This window comes from Homo sapiens, chromosome 5 (assembly GCF_000001405.40).
Source record: "Homo sapiens chromosome 5, GRCh38.p14 Primary Assembly".
NCBI lineage: Eukaryota > Metazoa > Chordata > Mammalia > Primates > Hominidae > Homo > Homo sapiens.
In genome coordinates, this window is record NC_000005.10 from 169,854,415 (window position 1) to 169,879,545 (window position 25,131).

Sequence of the window (25,131 nt, forward strand, 5' to 3'; positions counted from 1 at the left end):
CCTCAAGTAATCTGCCTGCCTCAGCCTCCCAAGTTCTGGGATTACAGGTGTGAGCCACCATGCCCAGCCCTGTAACACTTTCATGTATATAATTTCACTTTTCTTCTGAACAGTCTGTAAAGCCAGAGAGGCACAGGGTTTCATTTTAATGATAGAGGTGATGTGTGGAGGTGAAGATATTATTCAAAATTATGCAGAAAGTCAGGGGCAGAAGTCAGGACCCCCAGCCTGTCCTGGTCTGTCTCTCTTCCCCTGGACTGCTTTTCCTTGAAATGTCTCCATTATCATATATTCTCCCAATTCATTCAATAAACATATACAAAGCATTTACAGCATCTCAGGCAATTTGAGAAGCCCTTGGAGAGTCCCAGAGATGGAAATGACAATTGTGTCCCCCCAGAATTTTCTTTCTGGTGGAGATGAGCATGAGAGATTGACAAAAGAAATGTCAATATAATATGAAAAGTGGCAGCCTGCACAATGTGCTCTGGGTACTTGGAGGATGGAGTGACTAATTCCATGGTAGCAACGGGGGATGACCAGAAAAAGTTATAGAGAGGAGGTGACATTTAAATTGCAACTTACTGTCTGGCATCGGAGTTAGGAGCCCAGGCTCCCAAGCTTGGCAGACCCTCAAAGAACTCCAGCCTTCACCACCTCCTACCTGTGTACTCTGACAGATTACTTATCTCCCCCTAAGCCTCCATTTGCTCTTCTGGAAAATGGGGGTAATCATAAACTACCTTGTGGTAATTTTTTTGAAGAATAAATGAGATAATGCAGGCAAAGCCTTTAGTAACAGCTCATTGTAACTTCAAGAAACTAGAGTTTTTATTATCACTATCAGTAGTAATAATGCGACTCTCCTTTTCTTTCCTCTAAATTAAAATTATTTCCTGTGGTAGATAGGTAATGGAATAGTGTCCCTGGTAGGGAAAACAGAATTTGCAAAGTTACTGATATGTAGCAGCCTCTGACTTTTTGGAAAGTGGCAAGGAGATGGGGTTGGGGGAAGTAGACCAGTAGGAAGTTAGGCTATAAGCGCTAGAGTGGCGTTAGATTATAAGGAGACTTATTTGTAGGGGAAGGAATTTTTATGCTCTAGGATGGTAGTGGGATGCAACTAGAGATATAAAAACCAGGGAATGACATTGCTAGATGTGTGTCTTAGAGAGAGGCCCCAGGCAGCTGTGAGGGGGTGGAAAATGGTAAGAGAACATAGATGTTGAAGAACAGTGCAGGGGTCTACATGGAAGAGACCAAGGATCCCAATGGTGAAGTCTTTCAATTAAACTAAACAACACTTCCTGGATTTGGACATTACAAGATGAGGAAAGCTGCTCCTACTCTTGGAGTTTAACGTATGGTGGGAAAAGGGGAAGGTAATGAGAAAGAGCCACAAGAGAATATGTATTGGTCTGTTTTAACACTGTGATAAAGACATACCTGAGACTGGCTAATTTATAAAGAAAAGAGGTTTAATTTACTCACAGTTCCATGTGGCTGGGGAGGCCTCAGGAAACTTACAATCATGGCAGAAGGCAAAGGGAAAGCAAGGACCTTCTTCACATGGCAGCAGGAGAGAGAGAGCAGTGAGGAGCGAAGGGGGAAGAGCCTCTTATAAAACCATCAGATCTCATGAGATCTCACTTGCTATCATGAGAACAGCCTGGGGAAAACTGGCCCCATGATCCAATCACCTCTCACCAGGTCTCTCTGTCAACATCTGGGGATTACAACTCAAGATGAGATTTGGGTGGGGACACAAAACCTAACCATATCAGAATACAAGAATAGCATTTGGATGGGTTCAAAAGGAGGCAATGTGACATTCAGGTGGGGTGAATCAGAAAAAGACACCTGCTTATTGTCAGAAGCTGCCCACCAGCCCCTGAGCTCTTTGGTACTAGGGTAGTGTCTGCACTGCATTTTCCGCTCAGTGTCCTTGGCACCTCACCTGGCAGAGATAAGGGGCTTGATGACTGTTTACTGAAAAAAGTGAATACAGACTGAGGTTCATCTGAGATTTTTGGAGCTGAGGGGTGCATATTAGTGGAGATGAGGTAGAGCTTCAATCCTTGAAACCCACTCCAGGTCAGCAGCCTGAGTTTATGAGTGCTGATGTTTTGTGTTGCTTTGATTTTGTTCCCTTTGATCCCTGACTCTCAGCTACTGAAGGTATATTGTTTTTTATTTTAAAACAAAAAAGCACACCAAAGACAATGACACCAGCAAGTAACTTCTCATCACCTCCATCACCCATCCGTGATTTCTGTTTGTAGAATTGAATTTCATCGGGCTTGGTGTGCTCAGTGGAAACACTGTGTGAATCACTCTCAAGTTCAGCAGTTAACATGACTCAGCACTTGGTTCATGAGCAAGAAGGCTTTTCTGTCAGCATAACCAGGGTATCATAGCAGTGTGTCTGCTACCTGGGAAACCAAGATGAAGCACCAAGTAGAGGTCACCATGTTTAACTAATGATTTAAGAAATAAAGGTTTTTGTCAGGAGCAAACATATGGGTTTCATTTGAGTAAAATCTAATATAGTATACTTACGGATTCTAAGAATTTGTGAAAGCCATTTATGATAATAAAACTCTTATTTGCTTCCAAGCAAATGATCTTTTGGTGCGATTTTACTGTCTTTTCATTTTAGTTCTGCTTTGAGCCAAGGCAAAATGCTTTGCCCAAAATGTTCCTTTAGTTAGACCTTGTCTCTTAAATTGCATTTTCTCCAGAATGGACTAGGTCACATGTAATAAATTCTGGCATTTTAATAGAAACATTACAGGGAAAATAGTCAACAATCTGCTTTAATTTCAAAAGTCATTTACTCTTTGATATGGTAAGGCAGTATCTGGTAAAATGTGCAGAATGCATTGGGATTTACTTATGATGACAATTTATTCTGAAACAATGTGAAACTGGACCATCAATATTCAGGACAAAGATCTTGGCAGGGGGAAGGGTACTGGGAGCAAACATTAGTGTCTTTTTATTCCTGGGTCCTGAATGCCATGTAGACCTCAGGGATTACAGGTGCACGACACCGTACCCGGCCCCTCTCTCACTTCTCAAATATCTTCTCCACATAGCAGCCAAAGCAATCATTGCAAAATTTGGATGGGAATAACATTACACTCTCACCTCAGGAGAGTTAGAAGCCTTGGGCATATTACCAGTGGCAGACCCTAATTTCTATAAAGAGCTGAGACTAGGGCATGATGGTGAGAAGATGGAAAAATTGCTCTTTCTATTCCTCAGGGACTTAAGTCTCTCTTTGAGAAGACTGGTTATTTGTTCTGGGAACAAAACTAAAAAAAAAAAAAAGAAAAAAGAAAATCACACGTACATAAACCAAAACCACAATAATAGATCATTTAATTCTAGGAATTAAATAATCAATCATTTTGGGAATATACTATGAAATAACTTGAATGCAGATATTCTCAATTAAAAAGATAAGTATTCTGTTTATATACGTTGGTTTTATATTTGATAAGTGTTAAGTTTCTGAAGATCCTTTTGGTTTTGGTGGGGAGCAGAATGAGGATAGAGAGAATTGTTTCTTTATGTATAGATTTATACCATATATCATTCAGGACTGTACTCACTATGGTACCATCCTAATATGAGGACTGAAGGACCAGGGATAAACTGGTGTATGCCCAGTGAATCTAATGTACTCAATAATTTATTTCTGCAATGAGTATTTAAACCCCATGGTGGTACATGATGGAGATACAAAGGCAAGCAAGAATAAGCGAGATGGCTTCCTTAGGAAGACTTCAGTCTAGATAGATACCTTGATCAAAGAATGACGCAGATATATGTACAAGGACAACTGCGCCAAGGACTTCGATGGTAAGGTCCCTTGTGCCAGGCAAATGTCTAAGAGGGGTATTTGGCATGGTCTGGGCTGAGTTGGTGGTAGCCATGGGAGGCATGACCTGGGAAACCCCAACAGAGCTGCTGGGCAGGGAGGGTGGTGTAGGTGGGGAGTATTGAAGGCAGGAGGAACAGGAGCCTTCAGGGACTGAAGGCGTGGTAGGTCCAAGAAAGCCAAGAAGGCTGGCTGAGACTGGAAGACAAACACCGGAAGGGCCTGTGGTGGGAGCTTACAGGAGAGGCAGGGCAGGATGTGCAGGGCTTCGGGCCAGAGCAACATACCTAGTCTTACTTCCTAAGTATATTGGGAAGCCACTGAACAGTTCTAAGTCAGAGTGTAATGTTATTCCCATCCAAATTTTGCAATGATTGCTTTGGCTGCTATGTGGAGAAGATATTTGAGAAGTGAGAGAGGGGCTGGGTACGGTGTCGTGCACCTGTAATCCCAGCACTTTGGGAGGTTGAGGCAGGAGGATTGCTTGAGCCAGGAGTTTGAGACCAGCTTGGACAACATAGCAAGGCTCAGTCTTTACAGAAAATAATTATTTTAAAAAAAACATTAGTGGGTTGTGGTGGTAAGCACCTGTAATCCCAGTTACTGGGGAGGCTGAGGTGAAAGGATTGCTGGAGCCTAGGAGTTTTAGGCTGCAGTGAGCTATGATAGTGCCACTGCACTTCAGCCTGGGTGACAGAGTGAGACCCTGTTTCAAAATATATTTAAAAAATAAGTATAAAAGAAGAGATTGCATGTGGGGAGACCTGTTGGGGAGGTTCCTGCAGAGGCCAGTTGAGAAATGAAGTGGGTTTAGAACAGGATGCCCACAGTGGAGAGGCACGCTGACCTGAGAACTTGGCTTAGTCTGGCAATGAGAGAACCAAACTCTGTGTGTTGCCAACGGATGCATCCCTGCTCTTTATGGGCTGAGAGTTCTGTAGGAGGCAGAGAGAAATTAGACATTTGCAAAACCTCAGGAGTAGGGGTGGTATGATATGGTCCATCGAAATTTAGGCTGTAAATTGGTGAAAAGAAGATGGGGAGGAAGTTGAGGTGAAAGTACTCAAAAATGGGATTATGTTCATTAAACCAGTCAAATGTGGTTTGTGCTGAATGCTGACAGTGTTGGATTAGGATTTGTCCCCCGCACTTTTTCTTGCAAGCAATGCTTGATGGGCGTAGTGATCATAAAACATCTTTGTTTCTTGGCATTTATAAAAAGAAATACATTTTTAGCATACAGCAAGTTGCCTTGAGCAGCTTAAAATGAGAGCCTTTTCAAGTGAAGGTTATATTGAGGATTCAGCTCAGCTAATGAAGGTAAGAACGGGTTTCAAGTCTAGCCTTATGCTTCCTGGAATGGCCCTGGCCCCTCACACATTCCACCCACCAACCACATTGCTCCCAACACCTACTTCCCCACAGGATTGCTATAAGCCCTTGGACAAATCATTTAGCCTTCCTTAATTGACTTGTGCTTAAAATGGAAGGGACCTGGCTCTTAAAGTCTCTTTTACCTCTAGGATATTTGATTCCACACAACAAGAATCTTTAATTCCCGGAGTGCTGTGCTGTATTTTATGTGCCCATGTGCTCTTTTGAATCATGGGCGACTTTATTACTTAACATTAACTGTCGTGGTTTCTGGTGGATCCTTCTTTTTTTTTTTTTTTTTCTTTTTTTTTTTTGAGACAGACTATTGCTCCGTCACCTAGGTTGGAGTGCAGTGGCATGGTCACAGCTAACTCCAGCCCTCTTGGGTTTAAGCTATCCTCCTGCCTCAGCCTCCTGATTAGTGGGGACCAGAGGTGTGAGCCACACTCTTGACTAATTTTTTAATTGTTTGACGGGGTCTCACTACTTTGCCCAGGTTGGTCTCAAACTCCTGAGCTCAAGCAATCCTCCTACCTTGGCTTCCCAAAGTGTTGGTATTACAGGTGTGAGCCATCGTGCCCACAGAAAGTGTTCTTCCCTTGCCCCGAGAAAAACCTGTTTCTGAAAACCACTGCAGCTTCACGGAGGTATCTTCCTTTCTCTCTCCCAATTTACTTCAATCCACAAATGACTGAATATGTGCTTGTTGAGCACCTGGCCCAATGTGTACCCTACATTGTGTTCTTGGCTGTCACTCAGTTCATTGTCAAGGCACTCTTGGGAGGCAGGGGGTATATCAGAGGAATCAGAGGCTCACAGAAACTAAGCAACTTGCTCAAGTTTATGCAGCAAAAATAAGATAGCAGACTGCTGTCAAACCCAAGACTTCTGATTCTATGTCCAGGGTTTGTTTTTGTTATTGTTTCTCTAAATTGATGTTTCCCAAAGTGGGAGACTCACTCTCCAGGTGTAAACCCAAGCTGGTTTTAGATGGTTCGTGGAGAAGGCAGGAAAAGGAATACTGAATCACATGACAGGAAAGTTGTTTTCTTTTCAATTCTCTCTCAAACATCCTGTTTAGTCAAGTAGAAAATGGGCTTGGTGTGAATGTGCCTTTCGTATGTGTTGAATATTTGCTAATCTCCCATCTTAACAGAGAGCTGGTCTCAGGCTTAGCAGCCTCAATAGCAACAGGGTTTAGCAAGAACTTAATAAGATATTTTTATTTCATATTCTATTTTTGGAACATGATATTGTTTTTCTTCACATTGGCGATATAAATTTGCCTTTTAAGGAAAAAAATTAAGGGGGAAATAAAGAAAAGTACTGGATAAATTAGAGTTCAGGTGTCTGAGTATAATGATACAAATCATGCCTGTACATCCATGGAATGAGGCTGGGAGCAGCTCTCCATTTATTCATGCTGCCTCCCTCACTCACGGGACACGCGGGGCTTCATGTGATCATCGTGACACTAAGTTCTGAATCTGCTCTTTATTTATTTCCCTTAGAAATATATAGAAGCAATTATAATGAAAGCCATACTTGCCCTTAGGACCATTGAGGTGTCCTTCTTAAGCATACATTTTATAACTGAAATCAACCCAAGCTAGTAATGGAGTCTTAAAACCTAGAAAAAATATGTAAGTTTATTGCAAAAGATAATATCCCGTTTAAAACAGTTTAGAAATTTACAAAACCTTACATCAGTACATCGTCTTTAAGAAGGTGCTCTATAGATGAGCTGGTATTAAGTTCCAAGGATAGTGAGTATGCATTTATGCATTGCTTTTTAAACTACAGAGAAAGCAGCTACATAAACTCCTGCAATTTAAGTTGATGTATTGGTCTTTTTCCTTTCAATTTTATAAAAGTAATTTTTGCTAAGTTAATATCTCTCCAGCAAACCAGATAACCTCAAGTACAGCATTTCTGTAGAATATCATGGTAGATGTTACGTAATATTTTACAAAGAAGCAGTGATTTTCACATGAATAAGTGAGTATGCAGTTTTGGTATATGTGTGTGTGGTGTTTTAAACATAGAGACGACCATTTTTGTTCATCAGGAAAATGTTTATGGAATCCTATTTCCTCATAATGATTTTAAATATCAATTTTTCAGAAGAGAACTCCTTCCCAGTTTCAGGTCAGTGGCCCAAGCAATGCGGTGTTGTGCTTTGGTGTAGAATCAGTACAGCCTTGTTTGGCTGTATTTCTAGAAATGTCAACATTTTATTTATTTTTTTCTTTTCTTTTCTTTTCTTTTTTTTTTGTTGGGGAAGTGCAGAAAATGTCAACATTTTCTAGTCCCAGTTTTATTTAATTCAGTTAAGGGTTCATGTGAGGGCCTCAACTGGAAACATATCTATGACCACATCAGCTTATTAATTTTGTGTGAGGTACCTCAAACATCTCTTTATCTTCCCAGGCTAACTTTGGCCAGTAATCCAGCTCAGCTCTGAGTCACTCAGCTCACATAATGTGGAACGTGCTAAGAGTTTATAAAGTAGGAAAGCATATGTTCTTATCTGTATTCAAGAATGGACAAACAGGCCGGGAAATTTAAGCCATTTGCCAAAGGCTAGTGGTATAGACTGCTTGGTTGCCTGGATCTCTTAATTCTGGGAACAGGGTTATTTACATTCTAGCATGATGCCCGAGAATATAAATTCACATGAAATTAGCGTAAGCAAAGCAAATTAAGATGGAAGCTCTACTACAAGATAAAATTACATAAGAGGTCCCAAATGATTTCACTTTATTGGATTATCCTCTATTCTGTTCTTTTCCATTGCTGGGGCCAACTGACAGTTGATCGTATGGATACAGGAAAAAAAAAATCTGTGGCTTTTAGCCAGTGGTAGCATATCTTATTGAAATGTGGCTTCTTAAGTATGACAAGTGTATTTATCTTAATTCTAACATGACGTTATATATTCCGGTCTGATTCTGTGGGCTTAAACATTACACTAGAAACAGAACAAGAACATCTTGAATGACATTCCAAGACTTAAATAGTGCAAGCTGATATTCCTTGCCAAATTTCCCTTTCATTCTCACTGAAATAGCTTTGTTCACTGCATCACTATGACAGGGGAAGGTGAAACCATCGGAGTGGTTTGCTCAATTAGGCTCAATTTGCAGTGGGGTAGGTACATCCCACGAACACACAGGATTCTGTGCTCTGCAAAGATTCTAGCTTAGACACTGGATCTTCAGCCAAGGGAATTACAAAATACCTTCTTCGTTTAATGTATGTTTAGTTTCAGGCTCCCTTTCTAGCAATGTCAATCTAACCACATGCTGATAGAGATTTTAATTCAACCAGAAGGAATCTGAGCCTTTCCATCCTACCCCTCATCCACAAGAGTATATAGCAATTACTTAATTATATTACTTTAGTAGTTTGTTCAGCCATGCAAGTTTGACTGGATCCACATGTATGTAGGTCTTGTCAACAGAATGAGCCAGACCTTGAATAACTCAGACTTTGGGATGGAAAGATATTTAAACCTCAAATAGAAAAAACTATATCCTCATCCATAGTCCTGCTAGTTTTTCAATCAGGTGACCATTGTCTGGTCACCAGGAAGGGAGACTGTGTCGATTAATATATGTTTGAACCTATCTACACGGCTGTTTCTGGGATGAAGGGATGAGAAACAGTGTTGTGTTTTATCTTAGCCTTATCTATGTTACTCATAAGATGTAACTGATGGACAGGTTGCTGGATCTCATGATTTTAAATATTGCAGGTAAGTTAACTATGGAGTCTTAAAGTTCACACCAAAAACAGATTCCACCCATTTGCCAGGTGGTCTCAGGCCCTAGGCAGAGAAGAAGCATGATGGTTTAGGGTGGGCCCTGGAACAGCTACAGCTGCTGAAATCCTCTTTGAATTACACTTATCCAGCACAGCCACACCAACAAGTTTATACCCTGGGGTGGCCTGACTCTGCCACAGGCAGAAAGGTGCATGCACCATGAGATGACAGAGCCTTAATTTGGGATCAAGGGGCTAATTAAAAAGGAAAACAACCCAACACACCAGGGTGATCTTGCATAAGCATTTTATGCCCTGCCCACTTCTCTTGTGCTTATTATGTATGCTGATATCTTAGAAAACTGCCAGTTTATCTCATTTTTTTCTATGGTACCTGCTTATAACCTATAACCTCCCTCTACCTTCCGGGTCTGCACAACACTATTTTTTTCTTTTGGGTTTATGAACCCAGGATGGGAAGGAAGTGCTTGGCATCTTGGAGGTGTTGGAAGGTGTAGTGTGGGGTTTTGCTCGTGGTGGGAATCTGGTCTTAAAACTCAGCATGAGTTCTGGCTGAGTGTGACAGGGAACTTGGCAAGCGGTCACTCTAGTGTCCGTGAAGCCCTCAGCAAGCAGTCGCACGCACTCAGGTAAGGATCGTGGTCAGGTGTCCAGCAGCGGCTACATCAGCTCCAAGGCTCTTCTGTTTCACAGGCCAAGGGGCTCACAGCCCAGGGCCTTTGCAAAGAAGCAGGGCAGGCCTTAAGTGCAGTGGATTTCCCATCTCAGGGAAGTGCGTGGAGTTGGGGGGCTGGGGGATGGTCCCAACCAGCTCAGATCCACCAGAAGCATTTCTTTTTCACCTTCTTGGTTTTCCGCCTTAAGTCCTGCTTTTCCGGGGCTGGGGGTTCTGCTGGGGACTTTGGTGGGGGCGATGCCTCCTCAACTGGCTCTGCTTCCTCCAGACTCTGCAAAACTTCATGGAACCTGCCTTCCTGCTGCCGAAAATCATACTCTACACTGAAAAACACAGAGAGGAAGGAAGGAAAGTGAATTCGAATCAGCACAGACTGATTAAGCATCTCTCAGCCCCAACTAATATGGAAGAGCATGAGCTTTGGGATCAAATCCTAGATCCTTAGGTACCTACTGGCTCTTTGACCTTGGGAAAGTGATGCCACCTCTCTGAACCTCTAGTTCTTCAGTGATTGAATTGGCACCTGTAATGCCTTCCTCACAGGGATGTTATTAAGGGTCAGTGAGACCTGATGGCAAGTGTTCTGTAAATATTGGCTCCAGTCTCTCTCTTAATCATTAATGGGGTTTTGGCATGTGTTATGCATGAAAACTGTCTCATTATTAAAAAATTGAGATAATGCAGAGGAACAGACAAGAAAACTGACAGCTCAGTTTCATTATCTGTAAAATGGGGGTAATAAGAGCACCTATCTCAAAGGCTTTCTTTGGAATTAATGTGTGTAAACTGAGATAATATAAATGAAATGCTCAGAGTAGTGCCTGGCGTGCGCTAAGTCCTCCGTATGTGTTAGCTTCTATTACCGCTATCATCATCATCATTAACATAATTTCTACCAATATATTACGTCTTGCTCTTTGAATTGCATCTCAACTTCAAGATATATCTTGGAGAGCTTTACATGTAAGACTGCCTTGTAGTATTCCTCAATACAGTGTATTTAAATATTCCTCTACTGATGGATGGACATTCCCAACCTCTTTTTCGTTGTTGTTGTTGTTGGCTATTTTACTTGTGTGTTTTGGTGTCATTAACATACGGACTGCATTGTCCCGTGCTGATTATCACAAACATTGAGGAGGTAAAAGTGAACCTGTCGCAGAGCAGGGGTCCCTGAGGTCAGGGGAGGTGGGCGTTGAACAGAAGCCTGGCCTGTAGGGAGTGGGTGCTGATGCTGTCTGTGACCTCTGCATGTCTGGAAGTCAGGCCAGCAGACCTCAGGGACTCTCAGCCTGCTTCCTCACTCTGGTTCACCCTCCCCAGAACCCAGAGAGCCGGGGCAGAAAAAACGAATCCTCTTAGACATCCCTGTGGGCTGAGCACGGGTTCCCTCTGTCCTTAATTGTCTTTCCTCCATGAGGAGGATTTACTTACAGAGGAGTTTTCAGTGCCAAGATGCTTATAAGAAAGCTCTTAAGCTTTTTGATGTGTTTGTTACCTGGTTTCATACCAGGGGTCTCAGAAGGCCCAAGGATGAGGAGCCAGCGTGGGAGTGTGGGAAGTGGAGGAAACGTGGTCATGAAAACAGTGCATTCTCCTTGTTTAGCCAGAAGGAAAATGAAATGTTGCATCTGGGAGACCAAAGACCCCATGTTGGTTTATGATGTGGCATGACTGGCCAGTGCCTTTATACCCAGCAAGGGCTGGAAAACAGCTGTCATTAAAGGGACATCTGCCCTTGCTTACTCTCCCCATGTCACCTCCCAGGGCCGGGGACCCGAGTTCATGCTGCTGCAAAGGCATGTTGCCGTTGCCATGCATGACGAATGGAGCCCCAAAGAGTGCCTCGTCCCTGAGCATTCTGAGATGGAAGAGGCAGGGCTGAAGAGTCAGAGGGGCGAGGGGGCCTGTTTTATAGCAAGACTGATGGGTTGTTGCAGGGCTGAAGAGTCAGAGGGGCGAGGGGGCCTGTTTTATAGCAAGACTGATGGGGTGTTAGTTCTTAGGGAGCACTAGGAAAGGGTATCTGATTGTTTTGTTTCTGCATTTTTCATCCAGGCTTGCTTCTCCTCCACTTACATGCCTTCTCTTTCTGTTCTCTCTGGCCCTCTCTATGGGGACATAATCCTGGCTGGATGACCTATAGGCCATCATTATATTAAATTAGAATTGTATTGTGGATGAAACATAGGCTGTGGTTTTTAAAGCAAAGCCCCACAGTTTCACTGTGAGATCTTGGGGAAGTCATTTCCCACTTCCAGGCTATGGTGTCCTCATCTGCAAAATGAGTAGTGCCTACGCAAAGGACCTCAGTGAAGCTTAAATGCCATGTGCATATACAACACGCAGCATAGAGTAGGCACCAAGTATCCAGTCAGTCACTCGACAAACATTTATTGAGCATCTTCTTTGTGGCAGGCCCTGTTCTGGCTGCTGAGGAAGGAATGGTAGGCAGACAATCTCCCTGGCCTCCTGGCACTGCTAATCCAGTGAATCTGTGTCCTCAGTGCTGGCATCAGTAGCTGTTAGAGACCTTCTAGCCAAAGCCCAGAATTTGCCAGGCCAGTGGGCAGAGGCATGTGCAGACTCACATACTGACTGTCTATTTCAGGAGTCTCTATTTCAGGAAAAACTCTGAAACCATGTTTTTCCTCTGCTCTCACACCACAACAACCATCAACACAGAAGAAGACTTCTATGACCAAATGTGTGGGAGTTTCTCCCCACTACCAAGCAGTGGCCACCAGTTGGGTGTCTTCCAATTCAGTTCCAGTACTATCTACCCAGAGATAGCATCAGATTCCATAGATTGGGGGCTCAATCCCACAAGACTTCCCCCCACTTACAAGTCCGGGACCTTGGAACTTCTGACTGACTAGCTTCAAGTTGGGGTTCCCAAAACCCCTTCTTTGGGTTTGATTAATTTGCTGGAGTGGTTCACAGAACTCAGGGAAACACTTCCTTACGTTTACTGGTGTATCATAAAGGATATTGCAAAGGATACAGATGAAGAGATGTGTGGGGGCTTCAGCCCCTGTGTAGCACTCATTCCTCCAGGGTATGGGCAGGACCCACTCTGGAATCAGTCTCTTGACCCACAATCAGATTAGATTCCGGCCTTAGGCAGGTGACAGGAGGACAGGAGAAGGTCAGAGAAAGAGACTTTGTTTCCTGAGGCCTGCTCCTGAGGCCTAACTCACCCAACGTGATAACAAAAGATTGTAACAAGGGCTATGGGAGTTATGAGCCAGGAACCATGGGTGAAAACCTCTCTGTCTGTCTGTCTGTCTGTCTGTCTGTCTATCTATCTATCTGTCTGTCTATCTATTGATCCATCCATCTATCATCTATCTAATCTATCATCTATTATCTATTTATCTATCTATCATCTATCATCTATCATGTATCTATCATCTATCAGTATCTATTATCTATCATCTATCTGTCATCTATCGTTATCTATCCATCTATCATGTATCATTATCTATCATCTATCTATCTATCTATCTATCTACCTCTAGCATCTATTTGTCTCTATCTATTGATCCCCCCACACACATAGATCGCACACATACACACATATATAATCATAACATCACAGTCTCTTCTTCCAGGAGGCATCACCTGGTACTGCACCCCTATTTGTCTGGGGTGTGGTGGAGTGGGTTTCTGTCTGCACCACCTATACTTCATTCTCCCCAGTGGAAACTGGAGATGGATTGAGAGCCTAGGCAACCCCTGCATTGCAGCAAGGAAGGACTTTAACATGGTGAGTTGCAAGCTCTGATTCTCGCCCCTCTAGCACCAGGAACACACATAGTTCACAGATAGGGAACATCTATATTCACAATGCTCCTAGCTCCTGAAATAGCCCTGCCCTCCCTACTGTGACAGAAAAACAATCTTCATCATAGAGTACCAGATAGAGCCAAAGAGAGTGGGTACCCCCTCTAAGATTTTAGGAGTCTAAGATTTTCTTGTACAAAACATTCCATCCATCATCAGTCCATCCTGCTCTGGGCCTGACACTGTACCAGGTTCCAGGAACACAACAGTAAGTTAGACAGATGTGGATACTGTCCCCAGTGTGTTTGAGATAGGTGATTAAGTAACAATTGCTTTCAAAATGTACTTCTTATTTCTCTGAACTACTCCTACTTTCCAATTCTTCATCCATATGCTTCCACCAAATTATATGAATACACACATGCACCAACTGCCTTCCTCTCCTTATATGTGAAGTGTCTCTGACTTCATAATTCAAATAAACAAACAATGACAACAAACCAGCTGAGTTTGACAAGATTTACAAGTGTCCTAATACCTGTTTAATAAAAATAGGCTGGGCGCAGTGGCTCATGCCTGTAATCCCAGCACTTCGAAAGACCCAGGTGGGAGGATTCCTTGAGGTCAGGAGTTTGAGACCAGCCTGGGCAACATAGCGAGACACCATCTCTACAAAAAGTAAAAAATTAGCCATGTGTGGTGGTGTGCAACTGTGATCCCAGCTACTTGGGAGGCTGAGGTGAGAGGATCACTTCAGCCCAGGAAATTGTGGCTGCAATTAGCTATGAGTGCACCACTGCACTCCAGCCCAGGTGAGAGATTGAGTTGTCCCCATCTCAAAAAGAAAATGATATTAATGCTCTGGATGATTCTAGAATGTGTATGGAACTTGCAGGCCTGGGTAGAAAAGACCGGGAGATGGAACGGAAACTTTATCTCACCATCACAACTTGAAGCCCAGCCCAACATAGAGGATGGAGTGAGGGCCCCAGAGCTGAATGCTCTTGGGTTTGAATGGAGGCTGCAGCACTTCCTGGCTGGGTGACCCTGGGCAAGTTTCTTCTCTTCCCACGGCTCAGTTGAACTTGGGAGTTACACTAGCTTCCTCGCTGGGTGGCTGTGCAGATGGGATGCAATAGCAGCTGAAATCACTGCACATGGAACACTGTCTTGGCCCACTCCACTCTTCCTCACTAGGTCCTTTGCCTTCCCATCTCAGCTCCTCGCATCAACCTTCAGCTCTTCAGTAGCTGCGCACCTTACCAGCAGCATCACTCCTCACCCCTCCCCACCATCTACATTCAGGGAAGAACACACTCTTTATGTTTCTATGGAAACACAGCAGGGTTTCATTATAATCACTGGGATTTAGGGAGCTCCCCACTCCCCTCTTGTGACTGCCCCCACTGGTCTTGAACAATTTAAAGGGGATTGAAAGTAACTTTCTTTTCAAGGCCAGGCAAATAGCAGAATATGGAGAAGTGTGTGTGCTTCGGAAAGAAATTGATTAATGTTTTTTAGGCCAAAGCAATTTATTAACATAAAGGAAAATTGCCACTTTTCTTTTTATTCATCCGTTTGACACACTACAGTTTGGAAGGGAGGAGAGGGAGTATATTTTGCTTTGGTGGCAGCTGCCTTATAAATGGGGAGGGACAGAGCCCTCTCATCTGCTTTTTATCTTGAGGCTGGGTAGAAAAGAGAAGATGCATTTCTACTTCTTACTTAGCTACTACACCATGCTTAGCAACCCCTTGCAAAAAGGAGTAAGTTGCCAACTTGGTGAAAATTGAAGTTAATTCTTAGCAGAGCGTTGTTTGCAGACAGTGGGAGAGACTCTCTGCTTTGGGTTTCAGCCCAAGGATCCAAATAGCACACCAATAACTTTTCTGACCTCACCTCGCTTTCACTGCTTCCACCTACTCTCTGTACCCTCCCATCCTTACCATCTTCCACCATCCATATTTCACATATGCTGTATATTCCATGCAGGATCGTAAGAAGGAAGATAGGTGCAGAGTGCTGAGTTTGCAGAACCCTGGCTTACAGTGGAGGGCAAATAGTAGTTAAGAAATTGTTACAATGCAAAATTCCGGACACGAGCCCTTGAGATAGTCCAGGGCATTCATGGTATGTGAGTTGGTCTTCCTGAGGATGCATGGGACATGGGACCTGTGGTTTAGGGATGCTCAGTTAACTGCCTGAGGTGCCTTAGAGCCCTTCACATCCAAGGAGATGTCTGAACACGGAGCCACGTTGCATTTAGAGAGTGAGCTATGTGTAAACCAGAAATGGTAAGAACTTTCAGGTTTCCCTCTTGGGGGTACCTCACTAATCTGGCTTACAGATCAGTGCTCCAGCCATCATGCTCGCTGAAAAGCAGAAAGATGTTTTTCTAGGTAATTGGAAGCAGCAAGAGCCCCAAGTCATGACTTGGCTGGAAGAAGAAACAGTGAGTAACAAATAGCAAAAAATAGATAAGCTCATGAGCAAACAACAGAGCGAGGTTCTGGATGCAGGATCTTGGCTGGGTAAACTGAAGTTGGGTGAGCCAAAAGGAGATAAAAATTGATGTAGAAAGAAATAACAGAAGCCTCTCAGTTGTATATAACTTTTGAATTTGCAAAGTATTTTAGATCTGTGGGTTTTTTTCTTCTTTTTTTAATTTTTTGATTTTTTAAAATTTTATTATTATTATACTTTAAGTTTTAGGGTACATGTGCACAATGTGCAGGTTTGTTACACATGTAAACATGTGCCATGTTGGTATGCTGCACCCATTAACTCATCATTTAGCATTAGGTCTGTGTTTTTATTTTATCCTCATGATAGCCCAGGAAGATAGGAAGGTTGTTGCCCATTTAAACAGACAAGCAAGTTGGCAAAGGGAAGTCATACTGTAAGTTACAAGCAGAATCTAAACCCTATGTCTTAGTCTGCTTGGGTTGCTATAACAAAATACTACAGACTGGGTGGCTTATACATACATACATACACTTTATTTCTCACAGTTCTGGAGGTGGGAAGTTGAAAATCAAAGTGCTGTTAGTTGGGTGTCTGGTAAGGGCCCTCTTCCTGGTCTACAGACAGCTGTATTCCCTTGCTGTGTCCTCACGTGGCAGAAAGGGGAGAGGGACCTCTCTGAGTTCTCTTTATAAGGGCACTAATCCCATTCACGAGGACTCCAAGTTCATGACCTAATCACCTTCCAAAGTTTCTACCTCCAAATATCATCACATGGGGCATTAGGAATTAATCTGAATTTGAAGGGTACACAAACATTCAGTCTATTCACCTAGTTTCCTGATACCTAGTCCTTTGATTTTTCTGCTTAAAGAAGGACCAAATGTTTTAGCCATGGACCTAACTCTTTCCAGCATTTTATTCTAAGGAGAAGAAACAAAAAGAGAGTACCTGGGCCACATTAGATTAGGATACATGGTAATTTAAATGGGCAAAAATAATAATTATGATAAAAAGAATGATGGTCATTTATGGAATGAAATCTATGTGCTAGACACTATGCTACAAGTTTACACTCCTTCTCTCATGAATTCTCACAATCCCATGGGATAAATAATATTACCTTCATTTTATAAATGAGAAAACTGAGGCAAAGAGAGGTTAAATATTCTGCCAAGGGCATGTAAATATAAGTGACAGAGTCAGAATCCGAACCCTGACAGTCTAGCCCCAAAGCTTCTACACTAAGATGCACTGGACTGAAATAACATAGTAATCTGCATCTGTATGAAATTCTGATTGCAAAATATGTAGGGTGGTGGGGGTGGAGGTGGTGGCCAAGGCCTGGTGCTCCTGGATGACCTCACAGTCCCCTGTGGAACCAGACCTAAACTAGGGCTGGGGTGCATGGGGGACGCTTTATGGACCAGCTGACCAGTCCACCTTGGAATACTCTTTCTCAATTTCAGGGCAGCCTTGAAAGGGAGGCTGCATACCCAAAAAAGGTGCTCTCCTTCTAAGGAGGCAGCCTATTGAAGATAATATCTGGGGTCAGCAATCTTGGGTCTGGTATAGCCTGCTGATGTCTCCAGTGAGCCATTTTGCACTTCCTTCTCAGCAGTGGGTCCTGCTCTTTTATAAACAGGCATGCCAACAAGCCACTGCCATCAACTACACTCTAAGCAAGTTGGCCGAGAAGTGAATGATTCATGGCGTCTCCCTGAAGACAAACCATCTTCCAAATTCCCCTCCACTTCTTCTTCATCTCTTGTTGGAACATTTCTGTGGTCCCTGTTTCTACAGAACCCAGGTGCACCACTGATTTACTGACCTCCTGCAACTTTCTCTTTTAAAGAATTAGCTGTAAGAATCAATGGATGCAGCGAGAGTAGTTTGGTTCTCGTCCATTTGGATAAATCATGACACTTTGGAAGGCATCTCTGGGGAAGAATTACAGTCTCGGATCACAGGAACTTTAGTTTGTATGTTTTTCTCTCCCCAGCCTGGAAGGGATATTGTTCCTAAAACTTTCTCCTAATGACAAGTTTGCTCATTTTTTATAGGGTTTAATTTTGTGCTTCACAACTTGCAGCTATTTCAAATTGGCAAGTCTACCCCTTCTCCTAGGGCATCTATCTGCTGTTGGGTCTTCAGAAAATCACAGGTTCTCTTCTTGGCATGTATATAAATGGGATCAAGCTGCAGAAATCTCTGCTGATAGCTATATCTGAAAGAAATCTGTGTTTTGGGTTCTGTGACTCTGTGCCAGTAAGATCTGCATGTGAAACCCTCAGAAAGGGTAGATCATCTCCGAGAAAGTTAACACACTTATTCACTGACGATGCAAGGTCACAAGGAAAGAGGGGAAGGGACAGGAAAGTCTTCTGAAAGTAGGACCTAGTTTTGAGCCCTGGCTCCCTGGGATCTTGGGCAGATCACTTAACCTCTCTGAGCCTCAGTTTCCTCATCTGTAAAATGGGAATGTTAATCCTATCCACATTTTAGGATGGTTAGGAGTCTGGAATGAAACGATAGACATATAGTGTTGGGCAAAATGCCTAGTGCAGTGGCTGATTCAACAAATGGTAATGATTATTACACTAACTTGATGGAGAAATAAAGATCGGATCACTCTGTGATCACCTGTGGCCTCTGTGCCAGCAGCCACTCATTTGTTATTCCTCTGAAATATTCAACTCGTGTAATTTTATATTTATGGCATGTGTCAGCCTCTTTTGCTATTAATGCATTAAAATAGGTTTCATTTTTTATTACAGATAAATTGCTGATGCTGTAAATCCTACTTCTTTTCCTTTACACTCTAGGGAGAAAAAGAAAGGGGTAAAGCCATTCAAGAGAATCAGGGAATAGAGAAAAATGTCTTGGGAATCTCCTGTTGGGACTCAGAGAAATTTTACCTTTTACATTTTACATGTACCCCAAACTTCATAGCTGTTTCCCAAAGAGACATTTAAGCTGTGTTTGCTATTGGTTGTTTTGGAGATGCTCGAGGGCATTGCTATGACGTTCACGGCCCAGCATTTGAAATAGTGTGGCTCAGTCCATATTGGAATTTGATGAGAGCTGCAAATGCATCTGTGATTACTAGAATAACAGATATGCTGTGTGCCTTTATCATTATTTTTTACTGTGGACTTCATTGCTGGCCAGAGGGAGGACTGTGGCTGGAAGACAAGGTTCTCAAGAGTTCACCTGGCTCCACGCTGGGACACTGTCATAAGCAGATGAAAGGAAAATACTAAACAATTTAAGTGAAAAGTTGGCTGCTAAACCCATAGGACTGAGTGCATATTGCATTTCTAGAGAAATGCCTTTTTCTCTGGTTAGGTAATAGCTTTGAGTGGCAGGCAAGGCCAGAGCTCAGTGGCCAAATCGCTTAACCAAGAAGGAAACTCCCAGAAGCACTCTCAGACCTCCAACCGTGTGACCTCAAGCGGCTCACACAGCTCTCTGGAGCCTCTCTCTCCTCAGTGATGTGAAGCCCTTGCTTTTCTCTTGCAGGGTGCACAGCTGTGAGGCTTTGGCCTGCATTCCAGGGAGCCTCCTTGTCATACTCTGAATATGAAAACTGTGAGGGGGACGTGCTAGGAACGAGAATGCTGGTTGCTAGATACAAAGGGAGGCTCTTGCAGAGAATCTCCTTTACAGAATCCATAAGTTCTTCTCTGTCTGGTCCAGAAGAATTTATGAGTGGATGCATCAATAATGATTAAAATAAAAAAGCGGCCGGGTGTGGTGGCTCATGCCTGTAATCCCAACACTTTGGGAGGCCAAGGTCAGTGGATCACTTGAGGTCAGGGGTTCAAGACCAGCCTGGCCAACATGGTGAAACCCCGTCTCTACTAATAATACAAAAATTAGCTGGGTGTGGTGGCGGGCACCTATAATCCCAGCTACTCAGGAGGCTGAGGCAGAAAAATCGCTTAAACCTGGGAGGCAGAGGTTGCAGTGAGCCGAGATTGTGCAACTGCACTCCAGCCTAGGCGACAGTGAGACTCTGTCTCAAAAAAAAAAAAAAAAAAAAAAGCAATTGGTGGTCTGTGGAGTTTGAGAAAATGGAAAATGAGCGGGTGGTGGTGGCAGATTCTGCGTGGCATTTAGCTTCATGCATGGTCCTTGGTTCCCAAGCAAGGGGTGACCATACCCCTATCCTGAAGTGGGAATGTAGTGGTAATGGTCAGCATTTGGACACCCACCTTTTACACGTGTCTGCTGTTGACCCTCTAGGGCCCACCAGAGGGCCGTTCTTAGCGTTTGGTCCCTTGGCCAGGGAGCAGAATTAGGCTTTAATTACTCTCAACCTTTGTTGGAGGAAAAATGTCAGCCTGGATTGCCAATCAGTTTCTGATCTCAGATGAGGCCTGAGGGACTGAGAGAGGTGGGAGGAAGGAACGGTTACAGCTGAATCTCCCAAGTATTGCATAATGTAAGCCTGGGCCCCAGAAAGGCCTGAGAGGGACTCCTTTTCTCTTCTCATTGGAAACAGGAGGCATCAGAAGATATGCCTGCTCCATGAGTAATCCTCTCCTCTCTCTTCCTTCCCTCGCCCTTGCCTCCATTCTCACCTTTACCCAACATATATAATTAGGTCTATATATGATCATCTAACCCTAAAATCAAAGCCAAGCAGAAAGGTAATTCATCTTTCCAAAGATGTAGTAAGAACTAAAGCTACTCTCTGGGCTATTTTACAAGCAAGTATTTTTTATTCATGGGCTGGTTGTCACAAAACTTTCTAGTAAATCAAGTATCTTCTTTCAAGACCCTGATTTTTTACCTAAAAAAATCCTTCTGCTTTATTTGAACCAACCATTCCCAGGGAGCTTGCTGCAACTGCGGATTCCCATCCTCCACCCCACACTCTCTGATTCAGTGGCTTTGGGGCTGAAACCCAGCAACAAGTTTCCATAGACACCCAGGAGGTTCCGATGCAGATGGTCCACGACCACGCTTTGGGAGCACTGTCTAGGGCCTACATCTTCAATGTAAACCCTCACGATGCCCTTGGCTGAGTGGAACTCAGTGACAATCGAACATTCCACTGAGACCTAATATCCTTCAGATGAGTCTGGCATCTGGAAGGCAGCATGCTGTGGAATCTGGCTTGTTGGAAGACAGAACTGTGTTCTGCTGTGGCCGTTGCAATTACTATTTCCAGAATAATTGTGCAAGTGCCTCGCCTCTCTCAGCTTCAATTGCCTAATCTGAATGTTGAGCAAGTGCCTGACCCTTCCTGAGCAACAGTTCCTTCATCTGTAACATGGGGGTACTTTAATCAATCTCATCATTGTGAGGATTAAGTGTGAAAACAAAAGGTACTTCAAGTGATCAGTAAATAATGGATCCTCGGTAAGTGGTAGCTCTCTTCTTTCTTTCCCTTAAGTTTCAGCCCAACAGATCTCTTTCGTCAGCTGTTATCATTGTAAAAATCATCAGTTAAAGGCAAATAAACTGGCCTCCAATTATGAGGATTTATTCTGAGTGTACTTATGTCCCTTTGTTGAAATTACCACAAATTTAATGGCTTAAAACAACATAGATTTTACTCTTACAGTTCTGGAGGGCAGAAGTCCTCCAGAGCTGTAAATCAGAGTGTCAGCAGAGCTGTGCTCTTTCTGGAGGCTCTAGGAGAGAAAACATCCCTTGCCTTCTCTCACTTTTGGGGTCTGCCATGCCTCCTGGCTTGTGACCACGGCACTCTGACCTTTGCCTCTGGCGTCACATCTCCTTCTCTGACTCTGATCCTCTGGCCTCCCTCTTTCTCTGCGGCCCTTGTGATTACACTGGGCCCACCAGACAACCCACCCTGCTCTCCTCCTTTGAAGTCCTTCACTTCATTTCATCTGCAAAGTCCCTTTTGCCAAATAAGGTCACATATGCAGAGGGTCTGTAGGATGTGGACACCTTAGGCATTATTTTGCCTACAAGCCTGGGTTTTGATATTTAGCATTAGACATTTAGCAAGAGAACCTGAAGATCTGATGTTCTAACTCATTCTCCCAAAGAGATCACTGGGACAATTCAGACACCAGAGAAGGGAGATATTTTCACCTGGAGGGAGTTTTGTGGTTCCCCACAGTCAAACTTTGCCTTTCCCACTACAGTCAGGACAGAAGTCCTGGGCAATAATGTCTGATGGCCTGGAAGAACAAGGGTTTCAATGTCCTATGAAAGTGCAGCAAGCTCTCTGAGTCATCAAAGAAAGGTTCTCTCTTGTTGAAAGTATGTGGCATTCCAGTTATTTTGAAACTGGCAACCTACGGGCTTACATTCAGCTTAAAAAGACCCATTGAGAACCAGTTACATAGAAGCCCTCCTTCCTAATAAGAATATTTGCTTAATCCTTCATTTCCTCACCCAGGAGTGGTGGTGTACACTAATAGTAACAATGACTTTACTTCTGGACAATTTAAACAGCTGTCTCAAGTCCACTACTGGTTTTCCTTCCTCTCCTAGTTAATAGAGTCATTTCTTTCTTTAATAAGAACCTACTGAGCACCAAGTATGTATGAGACACTGATCCATGACTTTGAGAGACTAGCCATTTGCTGAAGGAAAGAAACTTATAAACACCATATTACAATGCAATAGGATCAGTGACCTAGCAGATGAGGGCTCATGGCATGGGGGTCCTTCTGGGGAAGGATTGGATTGTGAGGTTGTCCAGATAACTGACATTTAAGCTGCAAGACTAAGAAATATCCACACAAAGCAGGGCAGAAAAGACGTCCCAGGAAAGCAAAGGAACTTATGTAAAGGCACAGAGGAATGACAGAACCACCAGCTGAGCACCTAGTTCCCCATGGCTGGAGAGGAGCCACAGACTACCTGAATCAGGACAAGATTGTTTAGCGGGGGAGTGACATGGTCAGATTCTATTTTTCAGGTGCAAGTTAGCAATCTGCATGGAGGATTACTTGAGATAAGGGAAAAGAGACCTGTGTCAAAAAGGTCAATTCACGTTCAAGTGACAAATGATGAGAGCCTTTTCTGAACCTGCGGCAGAGGAATTGGAGTGAAGGGGTTGGATTGAGCAGTTGGAATCAGTAGCTTATTTGGCATATGAAGAGAAAGTCAAGAGGGATTGTGATATCTTTATGGAGTTGCCTCTTGGTCAATGGTGTTGAACAAAGTAAATATGGGAAGAAAATTAATTTTGTGGTGAAATAGGTGTGTTTGGGGATATGACAAATTTGAGTTGCCTTGGGATATGAAGTGGAAATGTCTGCATGTAGTTGCTTGAAAATTTTAGATAGATAGATAGATAGATTGATATAGATATCAGATAAAAGGTAGCAGAAAGTGGTGCCACAGAAATAAAGTCCATGAGTGCAGTTGAAGTGATGGGAAGAAACTAAGGATAAGACGAGGAGCAGTCTGTCCAGGTGGACCCTGGACAAACAAAACCTCTTCTATTTCTCTCACCTCTCTAGCACCTTTCAAATCCTACATGGCCAATCTCTCTCTTCACCCACCGAAAACCGTAAGGTTGCAACTCTGTCTTTCCAATTCCTGAACAGCATGCTTGGATGGGAGATGAAAAGTTTTCTGGGAAAGACCTCTTATTATTTTCCTTTAAAACATATTGGAGACATTTTACAACTGAAACCAAGCAGTTTTTTCCTGGGAGTTATGTCTAGAAAAGAAATGCGTGATCTCTGTAATCAAAGACCTCTAAAGAAGCACTGCTGACTATTTTTAGCATAAACATAAAGATGAATGCTGGAGATATGACTGGAAAAGTAGAGAAGGGAGTGAGGGAAGGAGGAGCAAGTGGCTTAGAGGGACCTCGTGCCCTTGAGAAGGTGAAAAGGAGCCGATTCCTTAGGGCACCATTTCCCAAACTTCAATCACTCATTCTCCACCTTCATGGTTTTTGCAAGATTCCCCATACCATCTACACAGTTATTCACTTCACTTTTTTTCTCTAAATCCATTCGCTTTTTAAATTTAAAAACATGTTTTATGTAAAACAGGCAATATCACTTTTGGAAATGCAGACCTGCATCAATTACAAAAAGTATTTAAAAGGACTAGTTTTAGAAGTTAAAGCCTTCAATAAAAAAAGTAAAAATGATTGTATTCTAGCTAGATAACTATTGCTTGCTCAGGGCTGTGAAACTGAGACCTGCTCTTTCTTTGCAGAGAAATGTGATAAGCCAGCATTAGGAAGGTTTTAAAGACGTTCTAGTACCAAACTCAGATTTTCCCCTCTAGGTTATTGGAAGGATTGAAATAAATTTGAAAAGAGAACAACTTTCTTACTAAGTAATTTAATGTTATTTAATCTTGGATGCTATGGTGGCATTCACTCAACCCTTTGGGTAACTTGTGCTAGGATTAATGCTAAGGAGAAGTGAAGGGAGTGATTGGGGCCAAAACAGCCTGGAATCAGCTGGTGGTTTAGAGCCAATTGCCACTCACTTCCTGTGGAGTCTACAGTAGTCAAAACCAAAGGATCCATTCACCTTTATGTACGGAAATCCCTGCAAGCTCCTGAGAGCCATGGATAGAATCTCTAGGCATTGGTGTTGGGTCTGTGCTCTTGGTGAGATAGGATGTATCCAAGTGTTCAATGGTAAGAGGAGAGCCAAGGAGGCTTAGGGAGCAGAGAGAAGGAGTTAGATAGAACCAGATGACCCCACATGTCTTGATAAGAGCAAGCAGCATAGCCATAGCCTCCAGCTGCTGGAGCCTCTGGGAAATACCACTTAGGAAACCGTATGCATGGCTAATTTAGCAGCAACATCTCCAGAGAAGAAGACCCAGTGGGCAATCCATCATGCGCTGGATCATGCTGCTTTATGTACAGTGACATGCACTGAGCGCATCCATCATCGGGGAGAGAGATCACGGCTTAACAAGGCCTGGGGATGAGTATTTCACATCACTTATTCATTCGTTTCTAAGATCTGACTTTCCAGAACACAACGCAAGTTTGAAGTCATTTGAATGTTTTCTAAAAAAAAATGACAACTCTCATCTTCCCACTGTTACTACGATGGGGCTGTTCAGATCTCTGCTTTCATCAAATTAATTGCCCGTTCCCTTGCAATGGCTTAGATACAAGGATATAGATTCTTTCTGGGAGAACAGTCTGGCTTTGAATGGTAATGAGGGATATATGCATACAATTGCT

At 43.1% G+C, this 25,131-nt stretch overlaps 2 protein-coding genes across 10 annotated transcripts in view; one reads left to right on the plus strand and one right to left on the minus strand.

Annotated features, from left to right (window-relative positions):
* DOCK2 (dedicator of cytokinesis 2) overlaps positions 1-25,131 on the plus strand; it is a 446,108-nt gene that overhangs the window by 217,140 nt on the left and 203,837 nt on the right. Inside the window, exon 28 of one of the 6 annotated variants that reach the window (XM_011534450.3) lies at positions 20,812-21,478. The exons of the other annotated variants lie outside the window; for them this stretch is intronic. Coding sequence (XP_011532752.1) covers positions 20,812-20,880 — 69 coding nt within the window. The 3' untranslated portion in view covers positions 20,881-21,478. Of the gene's footprint in view, positions 1-20,811; positions 21,479-25,131 lie in introns of those variants that run through there. 6 annotated transcript variants of the gene reach the window in all.
* INSYN2B (inhibitory synaptic factor family member 2B) overlaps positions 6,889-25,131 on the minus strand; it is a 119,193-nt gene continuing 100,950 nt past the window's right edge. For all 4 annotated transcript variants that reach the window (NM_001346304.2, XM_047416585.1, NM_001129891.3 and 1 more), the window contains exon 4: positions 6,889-10,045. In NM_001346304.2, coding sequence (NP_001333233.1) covers positions 9,859-10,045 — 187 coding nt within the window. In that variant the 3' untranslated portion in view covers positions 6,889-9,858. The remainder of the gene's footprint in view (positions 10,046-25,131) is intronic.